This window comes from Homo sapiens, chromosome 4 (assembly GCF_000001405.40).
Source record: "Homo sapiens chromosome 4, GRCh38.p14 Primary Assembly".
Classification (NCBI taxonomy): Eukaryota; Metazoa; Chordata; class Mammalia; order Primates; family Hominidae; genus Homo; species Homo sapiens.
Window position 1 is genome coordinate 39,317,798 of NC_000004.12, and position 18,468 is coordinate 39,336,265.

Here is an 18,468-nt window from a genome sequence, read left to right on the forward strand (position 1 = left end):
CATTATTTTTAACTTGTAAGCAATCCCAAATCCTTTTGAGAGTAGACAAAATAGTAACTTCTATACAAAGAAATGGCGGCCGGCTGCAGTAGCTCACGCCTGTGGTCCCAGCACTTTGGGAGGCCGAGGTGGGTGGATCACGAGGTCAGGAGATCGAGACCATCCTGGCTAACACAGTGAAACGCCGTCTCTACTAAAAAAATACAAAAACTAGCCAGGCTTGGTGGCGGGCGCCTGCAGTCCCAGCTGCTCGGGAGGCTGAGGCAGGAGAATGGCGTGAACCCAGGAGGCGGAGCTTGCAGTGAGCTGAGATCGCGCCACTGCACTCCAGCCTGGGTGACAGAGCGAGACTCCGTCTCAAAAAAAAAAAAGGAATGGCTTAACCAATAAAATAGTTCAGCTGGTTTGGCTAAGAGGTCGATAAGCCATTAACAGGCTGGTCCTAGAATCTAACCCTACTTTCTAACAATGGTTCTCAAATGTTGGTGTGTGTTCATATCATATGAGGAGCTTATTAAAATACAGCTGCCCACACCACATTCCCTGGGAAACTCCATTTTTTTAACAAGTTTCACAAGAGAGTCCAGTGCATACCAACATGGAAAAACGATTAATTTACGACACTCATTCTATGAAAAGAATTCTGAATGGTAAACAGCGTATACAATAACTTTGAAGGACACCCACTTTATGAAGTCAGAATTATTTGACCAAGACCAACTAAATGTATTAAATAGACTTTATTTGACGTTTCCAACCAAAACTGCTTAAGTAAAAGTTTTGAGTTATTTCTATTCTAACTTTAAAAAGTACAGTGAAGAGTATCATTTAAAGATTTCCTCTTTCTTCATAAAAACAGACTGCCTCTGTAAATGGAACATGTTTTAGTGTGCCTGAAGAAAACCATTCATTTACCAGATAAGCATTTAGTGCAGAAAAAATCTGAGATCAAAAAGTTAATTGCTCCTTTAAGCGTATTTATAAGCATTGTCCACAAACAAAAGCATTCTGAAATCATCACCATTTCACTGTTCTGCACTAAAATATAATGGTGATGACCAGTTAAAATAGGTGATATTCTGCTTTTAATCCTAAGTGCCTAAGAGGCATGAATGAATAGTGGTTTCTCATTATGAATCTAAAGTAGTTCCAAATTGGAGATTCAGAGACCGTTCGCTTCTCAAATATATTTCCTAGCAAAATTTTTCAAAGATATTCATTATCTCATCATTTTTTCCTTTAAAAATAATTTCAGTATCGCAACACTGTTGTACAAGAATAAAAAAGAGTAAATTTAGGACTAAGCCAAATAACAATCATTTTAATAATAATAGTTAAGATGGCACTTATTAGGTCCCAGGCACTGCTCTAAGTGCTTTTACATATGAAGTCATTAGGTACTATTATTATTATTCCTATTTTACAAACAGCACCAAAGCACAGACAGGGGAAGTGACCAAACCTGCTCAGAGTCCCAGAGCCTGAAACTGGCTCCAGAGCCTGTGTGTGGAGCCACTATGTTATACTGCTTCAGAGGACCTGAGTTCAAGGCTGGCCCTGCCACTTACCAGGTGGATGATCTTAGAATAGTTAAACTCTTTCAGCCTGTTTCCTCGTCTTTAAAAGTTGAATAATAAAAATAAATATCTCACAGGGTTGTTGTGAAAATTATATGAGCTACCACATGTAAAGTATTCGCACAGTATCTGACACACAATAACAATAAATATGGGCTTACTTAGCTATATTAATACTCCATATCCTACAACAGCTTCTAAATAAGATATCTTAAAAATATTATAATGACTTATGATCGTTAGAAATAAAACTTGAAAACAAACCCAGACTAACACATAGCACCAAAATATATACAGCAGTCCCCCTTTATCCGAGGAGGGTATGTTCCAAGACCACCCCAGTAGGTGCCTGAAACCACAGACAGTACCAAACTATATATATACTTACATGTACTGTTTTTTCTATCTAATAACCAAGCCGGCTACCAAGTGACTAACGGGTGGGTAGTGTATCCAGCATGGTTATGCTGGACAAAGAGATGATTCACATCCTGGGTGAGATAAAGCAGGTTGGCCAGAGAGATTTCATCATGTTACTCAGAAGAGTACCCAATTTAAACCTTATTAATTGTTCATTCCTGGAATTTTCCATTTAATACTTTCAGAACATGATTAACCACAAGTAACTGAAACTTCAGAAGGCAAAACCATGGATAAGGGGGAATACTGTACTCCCTAGAAAGTTCCTACCAAGGCCGGGCGCGGTGGCTCACACCTGTAATCCCAGCACTTTGGGAGGCCAAGGTGGGCAGATCACCTGAGGTCGGGAGTTCAAGACCAGCCTGACCAACATGGAGAAACCCCGTCTCTACTAAAAATACAAAATTAGCCAGGCATGGTGGCACATGCCTGTAATCCCAGCTACTTGGGAGGCTGAGGCAGGTGAGTTGCTTGAACCTGGGAGGCAGAGGTTGCAGTGAGCCGAGATTGTGCCACTGCACTCCAACCTCAGCAACAAGAGCAAAACTCCATCTCAAAAAAAAAAAAAAAAAAAAACAAAGTTCTTACCTCTTTTTTAGCTGGAGAACTTTTGGTTTTCTTAGGAGTTTTTGTCTCTCCTTTCAATTTAATGGCATTTTCTTTTCTTTTTGAGGCCACAGGCTCTATTTCTTTATAAGAGCTCTCTTCTTTTCTTTTCATAATTGCCAGCTTAGAACTGGCCTTGGGAGAAGAGACTTCTCCTATTTTGTCAGCTGATGACTTGGAATGTTGCTGAGATTCTTTTGAACTTTCATATTTACTTTGCTTCCTAGGACTGTAGCTCTTTCTTTCATCTGAAACTTGTGCTGTTTTTACTAGGAAGAAAGAAAAGATTATGGTTGTTGTTTTTGGAAAATGATAATCTATATCAACTTTTCTTTCATTTTTCAACTGAGTAATCTTAGCACAGAATATACCCTGAAGGCCCAAAGTCCTAAAGTGTCAAGACCATCTGTTTATAGTAAATCTATAAATACATTTACTTATAGGACTAAGATCATCTAGACTAGCAGATGATTTGCTATCAGAACCACTGAAGAATAAAACCTACAGGCAATAAGCAAGAGAGCTGAAGATGACCTGGCCAACTATGAGTCAACTCTGAGACTACCTCTGACATGAAAAGCTCAAAACATCTAGGTTCTTCATCTTTATATATTGAAATCCACATATTGCACTATACTTGGAAATTAACAAGAAGCCAGGAGTTTTAACACAATTCTCACAGTAATCATAGAGCAGATGGGCATTCTGTACCAGCTAGCATCCAAAGAGCTTTCAAAGTTTCTAAGTTCAATATGCTCTAATAGTCCTGTGAAATAATGTCTACCTAACAATACATAATTACTGAATAGGATACTTAAACAAGATTATCATGAATTTACTTCCATGAAGACAAGTGCTCCATCTTACTTTTTTCTGCTAGTATTACCTTTATGAGGATATTTATGTTTTTCTGCTTTACTTAAATTGGCTTGGACAGATGAAAACGTTTCTCCCGCTTCTGTGTCCTTTCGAGCCTAAACAAATTTTAAAAGTGTCAAATGTGACAAATAATAGAAAAACTATTACCATAAAATCTGTTGTTAAAATCCATCAAAATTTTAAGGGTCACCTTTCAACTAGCAGGACACTACAATAAACTGTCATTCATTCATCCACAAAATTTCCAAGGCAAATGAGGCATATTTTATTACTTCATGTTACAAATGAGGAAACAGATGAAAGGGTATAAAAATACATCTATAAAAATTATCTCTCTTCATCCCAACCTGTAAATCTGGAAGTAGAAGCCTTATTTCTCCTTCATCTCAACTCTCAAATTGTTAGTATTAAGTAGTTAAAAACTAAAATCTAAATTTAAAAGACTAAAATAAAAATAAACAAAAGCTCGAAAGAAAATGAGAGCACTTTCTCAAAGGGGAAAAAAATATATCCATTCTTTCCACTGCTCCTTCAAAACTCCATTTTATAAAAAGTTCACAAATTGAGGTGTGTGATACAGTCTTTTAAAGTAATTATAATTTGAGTGTCTTTAGATGAAATAAGACTTTTCAAATGGCAAAGTCTCTACCACTCCCTACTGTCTTAATACCTGCCTGTTTAGTCTTAGCTCCTGATGTATCTAGGTTTACAACTCTCTGCTTTAAAGAAGTAAAATCTTTTGAAGTAATCACATATTGACATTGACAATTATATTAACAGAATGTGATTCATCAGAAATAAAGCTAATCTCCTGGAGATAAATAAAAAATAAAAATAAAAAAATTAAAAAAATTAAAGTCTTGATGTTTTAAAGATTCCCCAAAATAAGGCTGAGGCAGGCAGATCACTTGAGCTCAGGAGTTCAAAACCAGCTTGGGCAACATGGCAAAACCCCATCTCTACAAAAAACACAAAATTATTAGCTGGGTGTGGTAACACATGCCTGTAGTCCCAGCTACTTGGGGGGCTGCGGTGAGGGGATCAATCAAGCCCAAGAAGTCAAGGTTGCAGTGAGCTGAGATAGCACCACTGCACTCCAGCGTGGGTGACAAAGTGAGACCTCGCAAAAAAAAAGAAAGAAAAAGATTCCTCAAAATATACTCATTATTATATGAGACTGTCATAATATAGATCTTAGAGTTAACTAATTAGAACTGACAAAACTGTGCTTCCTGAAAAGACAGTGATTAATACTGAAGTTATTAAACTTGTGTTCCAAAAGAATTTTTATGAGCATTATTTTCTGAACAAGTACATAAGAACTCCTATGATAAAGGAGTAAGGAAAAGGTAAACTGGGCACAGAAGCTCATGCTTCTAATCCCAACACTTTGGGAGGCTGAGGTGGGAGGATAGCTTGAGCCCATGAGTTCGAGGCTTCAGTGTGCTATGAACGTGCCAGTGTAATCCAGCCTGGGCAACAGAGTGAGACCTTGTCTCAAAAAAAAAAAAAAGAACTAAAAGGCCAGGCATGGTAGCTCACATCTATAATCCTAGCACTTTGAGAGGCTGAGGCAGGAGAATCACTTGAACTCTGGAGTTCAAGACCAGCCTGGCCAACATAACAAAACCCCCTCTCTACAAAAATATACAAAAATTAGATGGGTGTGGTGGCACACACCTGTAGTCTCAGCTACTCGGGAGGCTGAGGCAGGAGGATCACTTGAGCTCAGGAGGCAAAGGTTGCACTGAGCCCAGATCAGGCCACTGCACTTCATGAGAGACCCTGTCTCTAAAACAAATAAAATAAAATATAAAAAGAATAAGGAAAAGATATAATTCTTTGTTTTGTGATAAAAGGTTCTGGTTTGTTTTGATGCCGTCACCCTTCTTTTAAGAAGAATAAGTTTCTCAATGAGCTTCCCCAAAAACATTTTTATAAAATAATTTAATTTCTTTCTGGAAAAGTTATTCATGTTTTGGCTAGAGCCTAGAACACGCAAGTATGAACACTGATCTGTACTGTATATTCAGAACGCAAATAGCCCAACATTATGCCACCTTTTTGGTCTTGGGTTCTTCATCCAACATGGCTAATGTTCTGGCAAACTCTTCATCTTCATGCAACTGCCTCTCCAGCTGTAAAATGTGTCAGCAAAGTGAGTTGAGTTGCTCTTTTTCTTTTCGTAAATAGAATTTTTAAATGTCTGATTCATATATTTAGAAGAAACTAGAAAAACATTTTCCAGAAAATAATTATGACATTTTCCCACTCAACATTAATAGTGAAGTATCACAGGTTTGTTTCACTAAGCTGAATCAGATTTTGGAACATACAGTTCTGGTTTTGCAGGGATGACAGATAAAGTGAGCATATTTTTAAAGTCATATTTCTTACTTATAAAACATGAGGTCTGTACTTTTCTCTTAATGGTTCTTATGCAACACAGCTTTCTTATTTCTATTTATTATCTAAAAAGACCTCTGAAAGGAATCTCAACCTAATAGGAAAACACAATCATCTGGGGAGTACAAAAATAGTGAATCTAAGAATTTAAAAAAATTATACAGTATTTTTTTGGCACATATAGTAAGCTATATACAAATGTAAAATCACTTTTACTATCAAACTCCTATTTTCAATTACTAATTCAAATGCATCTGTTCTCACTTTTGAAAATTTAAGTCATCATGTCAGGAGTTCTACTAACATGCTAATGTAACACAGAGACATTCTAGTTATCTCAGTTATTTCAAAATACTTTCACATTCAGCAAAATGGAGCTCTTCCAAAAGAGAATATATAGCAGTGGAGTATCTTTCTCATTATAAACCAAATGGCTGTATGCTCCCTGGTAAAATGGCCTTACGTGATATTCAATAAAAAACACCCTACATTATTCAAACAAAGAAAAGGACTTCAAAATCCACTCAATCTTTTAAAAGTGAAGTGAAAAAAAAGGGAGGAAAAACTCTTACAGGGATAATTAGTAAAGACATCTTCAGTTACTGACACCTAGAAGTCCTTAATCAGATTAATAAATTACCCAAACAAGATTCTGAAAGAATGTGATAAAAATGGAAAAATAGAGGATTGTGATACAAAGTACCACACCTGGTTTGGAAAGGATTAGGTAACCCTCTAGTATTTGGATCAGGAGAAGTCAGGTTCCTAAAAATTACTTCCTAGTTTGACCTAGGCTACTTGTGCTACCTTGAGTCATGTGGATACTCGCTTGTAGTTTATGTAATTCAGTGTGATCAAATAAGATAGAAAAACATTTTGAAAACACAAACTAAACTGCCAAAGTAATAAAATGTGAACAATCACAATATTGTTCTCTCACAATAATACTTATCAAGAGCCCATTGTATGCCAGACACTAAGATAAGCACTGATGTAACAATGGTTGAGTGAGACATAAATGGTTGAGACAAATGGTTGAGTGAGAGTCCTGGTGAGGGGACCTTAGAGCCTATACTTGCCATTCTAATTAAATAGCAAGTATAATAAATGATAATAGTAGCTATGACAGAGTGTGACAGAGTATATCGGAGGGGTTTCTAATATAGTTGAGGTAGTCTGGGAAAGTGACACTTAAGCTAAGCAAGAGGAAGGGAGTTCTAACAGCCGGCAGCTAAGCCTGGAACCTCTGACAGAGATGAGCGCTCCTCCCTGAAATACTTTCTTTGGCTTCTGTAAGATATCAACCTCTCCTGATGTTCCTACTTCACTAGCCACTCTCTCCTCTCCTTTGCTGGATCATCCTCCTTTTCCTGACCTCTAACAGTGGCCCAGGGCTCAATCCTGAGACCTTTCTTTCTTTTCTATTTGCATTATCTCCCCATGATCTCATCCAGTTACACAGGTTTAAATATTACTCAACTGGTAATGATTTCCAAATGTCCATCTTCAGTTTAGACTTCTCCCCTGAGTTCCTGACTCTTCTACCCAACCACCTACTCTGCCTTTCCATTTGGAAGTCTATTAGACATCTCAAACTTAACTTGTCCAAAAGATCTCTCTGTACCAAACCTGTTCTGCTTCCTGTGTTCCAGCCTTAGTAAATCGTATCACCATTCACCCAGTTGTTAAGGCCATAACTGAATATTATTTTCCGAGAGACAAGGTATTGCTCTGTCACCCAGGCTGGAGTGCAGTGGCACAATCACAGCTCATTGCAGCCTGAACCTCCCAGGCTCAAGCAATCCTCCCACCTCTGCCTCCCAAGTATCTGGGACCACAGGTGTGCACCACCATGCCCAGTTGATTTTTGTATTTTTGGTAGAGATGGGATTTCCCTATGTTACCCAGACTGGTCTCAAACTCCCAGGCACAAGTGATCCTCTCACCTCGGCCTCCCAAAGTGCTGGGATTACAGGCATGAGCCACCACACCCAGCCTCATCTGTGAATCTTCTTCCCTCACACCTTACATCCAATCTGTCAAAAAGAACTTGCATGTTTCAAGGCACATTCAGATTATGCCCACTTCTCACTGCCTTTTCCTATTACAAGCTGACATCTCTCACCTACCATTCAGTCTGCAAACTGATCTGCTTTTGATCTTGCCCCCACCATGAACTATTAACATCATCGAAGCCAAAGTAATTTTCTTTTAAGATCCACCAAGTCATGTCACTTTTCTATTCAAAACTCCAATGGGGCTGGGTGTGGTGGCTCACACCTGTAATCCCAACAATTTGGGAGGCCAAGGTCAAGACCAGCCTGGCCAACATGGTGAAACTCCGTCTCTACTAAAAATACATAAATTAGCCAGGCGTAGTGGTGGGCGCCTGTAGTCTCAGTTACTGGGGCAGGTGAGGCAGGAGAATCACTTGATTCCCAGGAGGTGGAGGTTGCAATTAGCCAGATTATGCCACTGCACTCCAGCCTGGGCAACAAAGCGAGACTCTGTCTCAAAAAATAAAAAATAAAAACTCCAATGGTTTCCCATTTGGAAGAAACTAAATTCCAAAGTCCTTATAATTAACATCCTTTTTGTAGGTATCAAAGACCTATCATGACCTACAGGATTTGCTGCTAGCCATTTCTTCAAAATCATCTCACAGCACTTGATCAATCTTCTCTAAAAATAAATCTTTCAGTAAATAATTCTCCCCTGGTCTCATCATTTATCTTGTATAGAAATTTAGATTTTCATTTATTAGATTTTAACTTATTTTACATGTAACTTCCAATGAGGTTCAATTCAAAACCTGGCTGGACTAAATAGCTAGTCAGAATATCAAGTTACTAATGATTCTAAGCAAAATGCCAATACCTCCGCATCTTCATCAAGCTGTAATTGCTTGGCGATGGCTTCATCATTTAATCCAGACTCATCTGTATTTTGTGAAAGCTATATTTCAAAGAAAATCAAGCAAAATCAGCATAAACCTTAAGTTAAAAATAAGGCACTTTTTCTTGACTGTTGCTGATTAAATACACCAGTGAGAGATAAGTGTATCTATCAGTAACAGCTGCAATGTACACCAGCCAGAAAGTCAAATTTATGGCTACTCCCTGACCATATCCAATCCCTAATAAATATCCTATAGACAGACCTGTCTCACTTAGTTCTATTGATATGTTCAAGAGAAGTACCAAAAATAAAAATAAAAAAACCCAATCCTGTAGATTAATGTCTTGGCTTGACAAGTAGCCCAGAACATTGGCAAACCAATATGTGAGAATGATTACATTGTTCTATGGAGGAAGTGATAGAATCAACAAACACACACTATGGGGCAGGCTTTCTTTAACTCAGGGGACTACTTTCACCATAATTTATCTGGTATGTCTGTTTCCTAAATGGCCAGAAACAGATGAATCCAATATCTGCCAAAGTAGAGAAGGTCACAAGTGTAGCATAGGTATGCTCTATTTATAAGGAATCTATTTATTATCTCATTTGGAAACAAATTTATCGCTAATATTGACTGGTTGAGGTCAATAGTAAAATGAGTTTCCATTCTGAGAACTCAATTTAAATTCGAATAATTATCATTTTTTCTTATGGCTTAAATGATCTTTTCCCGCTTTCAAGAATTAAAAAATTAAATATGTAACATTCCAACTTCCTCATCCTTTAAAATGAGGGCAATACATTTTATCCATAATCATAGGAAAATTATTTTAATTATTAAAACATGTTGCCTATTTACTACATCCTAGTTTCTCCTGTTAATATTAGTGAATGGGTATAAATCCTGAGCATACTTGCTTATATGTAGAACACTTACCTCTTTTCTTTTGCTTGCCACCATCTTCTTATTAGATCTTTGGACACTTCCAGTTCCAAAATAATCAAGTACTGATGTGGGTGTAAGTTTTATTGGTGATAAAGGCTTATTCTTGGTCTTAGTGTTTTCTTCATTCTTTTTCATGTTTGATGTTCCAAGATGACTATTTGTAGATCTTCCATTCTCTTTTGATTTAGAGGCCGCCTTCTTACACATAAAGTCATCTTCTTCATCTTAAATGAAATGTAACCAAATATTTTTTATAAAACATCAATTCGGTTATACAAAGAAAACACTTCTACCAACTTTATAAAAAGTATACAAGAGGCTAGACATGGTGGCTCATGCTTGTAATCCCAGCACTTTTGGAGACCAAGATAGGAGAATCATTTGCGCTCAGGAGTTCGAGACCAGTCTGGGCAACATCATGAAACTCCTTCTCTTCAAAAAAATTAACAAAAAATTAGCCAGGCATGGTGGTACACACCTGTAGTCCCAGCTACTAGGGAGGCTGAGGCAAGAGGATATAAACCCAGGAGGTTGAGGCTGCAGTTAGCTGTGATTGCACCACTGCACTCCAGTCTGAACAACAAAGACCCTGTCTCAAAAACAAAATAAACATCCAAGAACTTAGAGATGCTAATAACTTTTTCCCCCTATCTCCAAAATTCAACCATCATCCCCACATTTACCAGTGCCAGGCCTGTAATACGCTATATCCCCCAGTTACTACCAAGAGTACACAAATATTTACTGAGCACTCATTATGTACCAGGAACTTAAGATACAGCAGTGAATAAAAAAGACAAAATCCCTGCCCTCATGGAACTTAAAGTCTAGAAGAGGAAACAGATATACAAATAAACAAATATACACTGTCAAGTTAAATGTTCTATGAATAAAAAGTAAAACAGGGTGAAAGAATTAAAGAGTGATGAAGGGTACTCTTTGAGATAAGGTAGTGAGGGAATGCCTCTTTGATAAACAACATTTTAACGGAGGCCTGAAATGAAGATACCTCAGGCAAGAATATCTGGGCAATTAAAACTACAAATGGAAAAGCCGAGACGGAAGTGTGCCTGGAGTTCAATGTGGCTGCAGCACAATGCGGAGGCGTGCCAGAAGAGTTCGGGTGAAAGAGGTAGGGGCCAAATCCTGGAGGACTTTCTAGGCAATAGGAATAATTTTAGTCTTTATTATAGAACGGGAATCCACTGGAGAATTCTGAGAATAGTTTGTGACCCAACTTAAGGCCTGTCATTTGGAAAACACACTGCAGAGCGGGGAAAGTGAATGCAGGGAGACCACTTAGAAAGCTACTGCAGTTTCAGATGAGATACGGAAGGCTTGGACTGTGGTGGTATTTGCAGAGGTAGTAAGTTGTCAGGTTCTAGCTATATATTGCAGGTGAACCATCTACTGATATCTAACCATTCATTTAAGACCATAAATTCTTTGTTACATTTTATTTTTCTAAAAAGTTTCCACAAAACATCTGGCTTTAAATGTCTTTTTAAGCATTCATGACAACGTTTAGATAATTAGGAGCTCCAAAAATGTACCTCAAAAGGGCCTCAATAAATTTGTTTGCTTCAGTGACTCACAAAAAAAAAAAAAAAAAAAAAAAAAAGCTTTTCGATTTGGCCTATAAACAAAAGAAATCCAATAAAAATGAAAATCTAAGAGACAAACATGAGGCCGGGCACGGTAGCACACACCTGTCATCCCAGTACTTTGGGAGGCTGAGGCGGAGGATTGCTTGAGCCTGGGAATTCAAGATCAGCCTGGGCAACATAATGAGACTCCATCTCTACCAAAAAAAATTAGCTGGGGAGGCAGGCAGATCACTTCAGGTCAGGAGTTCAAGACCAGCCTGGTCAACATGGTGAAACCCCATCTCTACTAAAATTACAAAACTTAGCCGGGCGTAGCGGTGCGCGCCTGTAGTCCCAGCTACTCCGGAGGCAGAGGCAGAGGGTGCAGTGAGCTGAAATTGTGCCTCTGTACTCCAGCCTGGGAGACAGAGCAAGACTCTGTCTCAAAAAAAAAAAAGAAAAAGAAAAATTAAGCTGGGCATGGTGGTGCAGGCCTGTAGCCCCAGCTACTCAGGAGGCTAAGGCAGTAGGAGGATCGCTTGAGCCCAAGAAATGGAGGCTGCAGTAAGCCTCGATTGTACCACTGCACTCCAACCTGTCTCTAAAAAAAACTTTTTTAATACAATTGAAAATAGGCCAGGTGCAGTGGCTCACACCTGCAATCCCAGCACTCCGGGAGGCCGAGATGGGCGGATCATTTGAGGTCAGGAGTTCAAGACCAGCTTGGACAACATGGTGAGAGCCCGTCTCTACTAAAAACATAAAAATTAGCTGGGCGTGGTGGAGTATGCCTGTAATCCCAGCTATTTGGGCAGCTGAGGCAGGAGAATCACTTGAACTGGGAGGCGGAGGTCACAGTGAGCTGAGATTGCACCACTGCACTCCAGCCTGGGCGACAGAGTGAGACTCCCTCTCAAAAAAAAAATTTTTTTTTAAATAAAAGACAACCATGAAGACTAGGTCTTGGTGGGGATGGGGGACGGTTCACTGTATCAATTTGGTATGCAAAGCCACATATGAGTGGCTCCTATGTCCTCTCAACTGCTCCCTCATTCAACTATGAACATTTGCTAAAGGCCTTACGTCCCAGGCACTGTGTTATCCTTAGGTGGCTGCCATTTCAAACATGAAAGTATCTAATGATATGTAAAAATCAAAAGGATTCAGCCTTACCTTCTAATTATTATATTTATATTAAAATGAAACTATAAATTTTGCAACACTTCACTCTTACAGGTTTCTGATTACTAAATGTAAAAAGTAACCCACTATTTAAAGCAAGCATGTAGTAGAAATCTCTGAGGATGCCAGTGCCCTTCACTACAAGCACATTTTCTCTAATAATTTACAGCTCACCCCTCCCTCCAAGGGCCTCCAAAAACCACAGATATATCCATTAGATGGCTCCACACTCTTGACCACAATCAGCTAGACCAGGAGTGAGCACTTCAGCAAGGTGGGGCCAACTTTATCCTTGATTTGCTCAACCAGTATGTACAAACCAAGGTGCAAAAGGTTTATTTCTACATTCAATGAGATAAGTTAGCAGGCTCCTAATAAATTTCCCCATTTTGCTTACACTAAAGTGTTTGCAACCGAAAGAGTTAAATTAAAACATACTTGTTTCACTTCTCTTCAACTATAGTCAATCTACCGTCAAGCTTTAATTAAAAATTTATCCATAACTCTTTCTAAAGCACATCCAAGGCCTGATACAATTAACAGATTTCAGTTCAACCACGTTACAAAGAGTCAACAGACTAGGTTCAGTCATTCATATATATATATACACACACACACACACATATATATATATTCTCCCTACCTAACTACTGGTTCTTCTCTGCCTCTTTGCCAGACGGGAAAAAGGCTTTGCAAAAGGCTAGGTAACATCACCATTCCATTTATAACAGCCACGTGGATCACCCATAATAGTCCTAGTAACTAACCATTGAGAATATAATCTCAAAGTCCTTTCCTTTTCTCTAAAATAATTACACAATGATCATGGTATTATAGAAACTCAAATTTTTTTAATACTTGACAGCTGACCAGCTATACCCAGTATATGTTAAATTTCTTATCTTATTAAATTTTATAATGTTTATTTGCTTTAAGTTCAACAATTGTACTTCTGGGCAAGAGGGAGTCCCTTAATGGAGAAAGAACAAACTTAAATTGTCTCTGAAATGATGGTGCTCTACTAGTTTCCTACCACCTTAAAAATGCCTAAAATACTAACATTCCATTTCCACTACACTTAGCCGTGCTTATAAGCAGTATGACAGAAAACCCCATAGCTGAGTGGGTGAGATCAACTACTATGGAGAGCAGATTGTAACAGGGCAAGAAAAGGGGAAGACAAAAAGTAAATGACCACGTAGGCAAAGATGGCCTCAACAACCATAACAATGGCAGTACAAACAGAGAGATGTGAGTATTGTGTATAATATGGGAAAAAAAATAACCTAAATATCTATTAATATGTATACTCAACCATGTAACAAAATCTCTACAGCAATAAAAATTATAAAAAATATCTATATTTGCTCATAGAAATATATTCATATGTTTACTAGGTGGCAAAAGCAGATGACATAACAGTATGTTTAATGACACTGTTTATCTATAGCTATATACATAACTTTTAAATTCACATTCTAAAATCTGAAAAGAATCAATAAAACATTAACAATTTTTATCTCTGATTAGGGAAATATGGGTAATTTTTATGTTTTTTTCACACCTTTTGATATGGCTTGGCTGTGCCCTTAACCCAAATCTCATCCTGAATTCCCACATTATGGGAGGGATCCAGAGAAAGGTGAATGAATCATGGGGACAGGTCTTTCCTGCGCTGTTCTCGTGATAGTGAATAACTCTCATGAGATCTGATGGTTCTATAAAGGGCAGTTTCCCTGCACAAGCTCTCTTCTCTTGTCTGCCGACACTTGAGACGTGCCTTTCACCTTCCACCATGATTGTGAGGTCCCCAGCCATGTGGAACTGTAAGTCCAATAAACCTCTTTCTTTTATAAATTGCCCAGTTTTGGGTATGTCTTTATTAGCAGCATGAAATCGGACTAATACACCCTTTTCTCCGTCTAATGTTTTACAACAAATTGAATACATCCTAGAACTCTCTGACCCCTTAGCTTTCAGAGTCAGTGCTTTAGTTTCTACCTCCTCTCCACTCTTCTTTGCTTACTTCTGTTCATTATTTATCAGCACCTCTGCTATTCTGTTGCTGGCTTCACAGACTTCATGGTATCTTTTTATTTACTATTAATAAGTTTTTATTGAGCATTAAACTACATGCCAAGAACTTTATAATAAATTATCTTTAGTCAACTAGTCCTACCTCCTTATTCAATACATAGACCCCATTTTCTACATTTCTAACAAAAAAATAGACTAGACTTAAATACTTTCAAAATCGAGCAATGTTAATTCACCTTCTTTCTTTAGCAAATAGCAAAATACTATACTCCTTAGGAAAGTTTTTCCTTATATTAAGTCAAAATACTTCCCTGTGAATTCCACCTACTTTCCTTAATCTATCCGCTGAACAGGGAGAAAAAGTTTATCTACTTTTTCCACATTCAGCCTCTGAAGTCTGCCCTTATTTCTTCCTTACGTCCCCTTCTCTATAAATAGTAAAACAGTTTCAAGCCAATCAACATTTAGGTTACTGGGAAGATTAAATTTTTCTTGAAGGGCCGGACATGGTGGCCCACGCCTATAATCCCAGCACTTTGGGAGGCCAAGACGGAAGGATCACTTGAGCCCAGGAGTTCAAGACCAGCCTGGGCAAAAGAGCAAGACCCCATCTCTACAAATACAATAAGACAAAATTTTAGAGGCTAAGTGCCCAGTGTAGCACCTAGCCATGTTACAGCCATTCAATAAATAAAAGTAGTATTCTCTGGGAAAAACAGTGCTGAACCAGAAGTCTAGAAAACTAAAATTCTAACCTAAGTTTGACTTACTATTTTTAATTAACCATCTGGGTTTCACTGCGATCTTCTGTAAAATGTTGGACCAAACGAACTCTTAAGATTTTCCCCTTTACAATTTTATGACCCTATGGGTAGCCATATAGATTTTTTTAATATTATACACAATATTGGTAAAAATGTGATGAGTTTGTACTAATAAAAACACTAATTATAAAAGTGTAAATTAGTGTGACTTTTCTAGAAAGTAATTTGGTAGAACACACCAGAACCTTAAAGAAGTTCATATCCTTTAGCATAGTAACTCTTGGAGATAATCAGAGGTGATGACAAATATTTGCATATAAATTTAGTCTAGTCATCACACTATTAGGAACATGAAAAGTATAAGCAACTGAAATGCTGAAATCGGGGAAATTTTTATATAAATTATGGTCTAACTATACAATGGACTCATGAAGCCATCAAAAATTAAGCCCAAATTTCGAGGCTGAAAAAAAAAAACCTCATGAAAATAGCAAAACGGCTGTCAAAAAAACAAAATACATCACTCTGTTCTTTTATGTGCACCCTAATGTTATAGGTATAAACATCACCCCTAAAAGGGGAGGTTCTTGTTATGAGCCTCCTCTACCAGAGATCTCTTTACAATAGTGGAGGGTAACAGAGCCCTTCTCTGAATACATGAATTTAAATTGAACAATGTCTTCAAGCTATAGATTTAAAAAATGTACTATAGCTAAACACAGGCATAATTTTATAAACATTTTTATAATTTCTGAGAAAAATTTAATTACACATGGCTCTCCAAAGAAAAAATATGGGAGTGTTCTATAAGATACTTCAAGTATGTTTTCATTGTGTTAAACAAAAAGTGCAAATAAGGCTCCTTTTCTCTGTTAACTACAAAATAAACAGCTCTCTAGGCCCCTAGGAAGGTACGAGTAACTCTAGTAAAACACAGTTATGAAAAGAAAAAGGGAGGGTAATTCTCAAGGACTGGCTCTCTTGCTTTAATACCTATTTAGTGCCCCCTGATTTGCCAATTTCCCCATACTCCTTACAGTTATGAGAATAACATTAAAAAAAGCAAATTCATGATCCTAAGCATTGAGATATTTCTCACAAATATAAGGGATTTCATATTTATTTTATAAATAAATATGGTACCCTATAAGCCACAGGCATATCTGAAAACACTGTCATCTTGCCTTGATGAAACCAGAAAACTTGAAGAACGAGCAGTCCTACTGTTTCTCTACTATGACTTCTGAACTAGTTGTCTTAAAGTTCCTTTGCCCTTAACATTTTAAAGGCTATACCAATATATTATGGAAAGAAGACAAAACAGGCCAAGAAGACAACTAGCTGCTTCCAACAGACAGTGACTTAACAGGTGTTGCTGTGAGGATCCTCATGTAAAATAAATATTTTACAATCCTACACAGTGTGTAGAGATGAAACATTCCAAATAAAGTTGTAGTTGTTCTTTTTTAACATTTGTTCTTGTTTTCTAATAAGCTTAAATTGGATTCCGCCTCATAGGAAGCCAAAGGCAAACTATGTTCTCTTCTCCCCAGAAACTTACAATAAAATAATGATAAACAGATCTAAGTCAAATTGAGGAGAACTGGTTGAAAATCATGAACAATTGAACACTTAGATTTTCCCTCTAGGATATCTGTCTTCTTGTAAAAACACCATTTATTTTTATTTATAGGCAACATAACCTCAAATGTGGTACGAACAACCAAGCAAACTAGCATTATCACATTATCCTACACACAGCAGAGGAATTGCCTGGGAGAGAAGATTGCTTTAACACTCTGTGTTAGATACATTCATTTATTTAGAAGAATAACAAAAGAGAAATAAAAAATGTGGGGGTCCATATAAAAATCTATTTAAAAGGCAAAAAGGAAAAAAGTCTAATTCTGGAATTCATACTGCTGAGAATCTGGCCTTTCCAAACAGATCTCTGAATTCTAATTCTGTGATTTTATTTTCTTTGGTCTAGAATACACAAAAAGCAAATTAATGAAGAGATCCAGTTACGGGGATTAAAATAATTTATTTAGCAACAAAAACTAAAAAAGGAATCAAGGTGTTTAAAGCCTTTTTCTATAAAGTTTCTTTTCAATATTTCCTTGAGTCAAAAATCTAAACCATCATTTTGGTTTCAGAGACAGAAAAAGGTTCATGTATGTGCCAAGCCTTCAATAAATACTGGTTAAATTAAGTGGATGGAAGAGAAACTAAACATAGCACTTTTGCCCATTTATGTGGTAAATCAGACATTCTATACATATCAGCATAAAATAAAACCCCTAAGACTGCTCATCTTCAATCAAGAAACCAGAGATCTCATGATTCACTACAAATGAATCCTCTTAGAATCAAACAGAGTCAGTTATATTTTTAAAATAAACCTTATTTTATAATTCGTGGGGTCTAGTGAGGTAGCTGAGTAATGATAAATAAGAGAAAAAAGTACTGGCTTGAAATGTGATGTTATCCACCACACAGGTACCGAGTCCACTGGAATGCCTAAATAAGAAAAAGTGGGGGAAAGGCCTGGGCAGTTGGCCACAGGTACATTACCCAAAGCTTCTTACAATTCTAAGGCATAAAACGGGCAATATAAGGAAATCTGCCTGACCACAGAGTTAAGGGAGTGATTCTGCAATCGATGCAATTTCCCCACTGCCATTCACATACATCTTCCCCACACAAGAGGAGAGAACAGTGCTGGTCTCAGTACGAAAGCCAAGTATAAGTCATTTTGTATATTATTTTATTATTATATATTGTATTGTATTAGTACTTAATGATATTTTCATCACATAATCCTACTTCCTTGGCATTCAGGAATACAGTCCTATGTCTCTCACAGTTTCACAAGTGCCTGACAGTAAAGTACCTGTCACCAGAACAGTCTGTTCATTTTCAAAGATGCTTCGGAACCTCAGTATCTTAGTGTCTCATTATTTACTGTGCCCTTTTCAAATCTCCTTCCTCTCCATATGCCACTTAATTTTTTTCAGGTCCCATAATACACACTAATAAAAGAGAATTGAAGAACAAATTACCAAAAAAGATTATAAGAAAGCATCTAGCTCTCATAAATATGTGCATTTGCAGATAAAATTGCTAAAGCACTATCAGTGACCTTTGAATCATCATATAAAATA

At 37.4% G+C, this 18,468-nt stretch overlaps 1 protein-coding gene across 7 annotated transcripts in view; it reads right to left on the reverse strand.

Moving 5' to 3' along the window:
- RFC1 (replication factor C subunit 1) overlaps positions 1-18,468 on the reverse strand; it is a 78,907-nt gene that overhangs the window by 30,342 nt on the left and 30,097 nt on the right. For 4 of the 7 annotated variants that reach the window (XR_007057951.1, XM_011513731.2, NM_002913.5 and 1 more), the window contains exons 5-9: positions 9,727-9,959; positions 8,766-8,843; positions 5,543-5,620; positions 3,490-3,577; positions 2,586-2,872 (exon numbers count right to left, since the gene is read on the reverse strand). Coding sequence is in view for 6 of the 7 variants with exons in the window: in XM_011513731.2 (XP_011512033.1) it covers positions 2,586-2,872; positions 3,490-3,577; positions 5,543-5,620; positions 8,766-8,843; positions 9,727-9,959 (764 nt within the window). In the remaining variant the exon portion in view is untranslated. The remainder of the gene's footprint in view (positions 1-2,585; positions 2,873-3,489; positions 3,578-5,542; positions 5,621-8,765; positions 8,844-9,726; positions 9,960-18,468) is intronic. The other 3 variants (XM_047416054.1, NM_001363495.2, NM_001363496.2) reach the window with 1 other exon arrangement.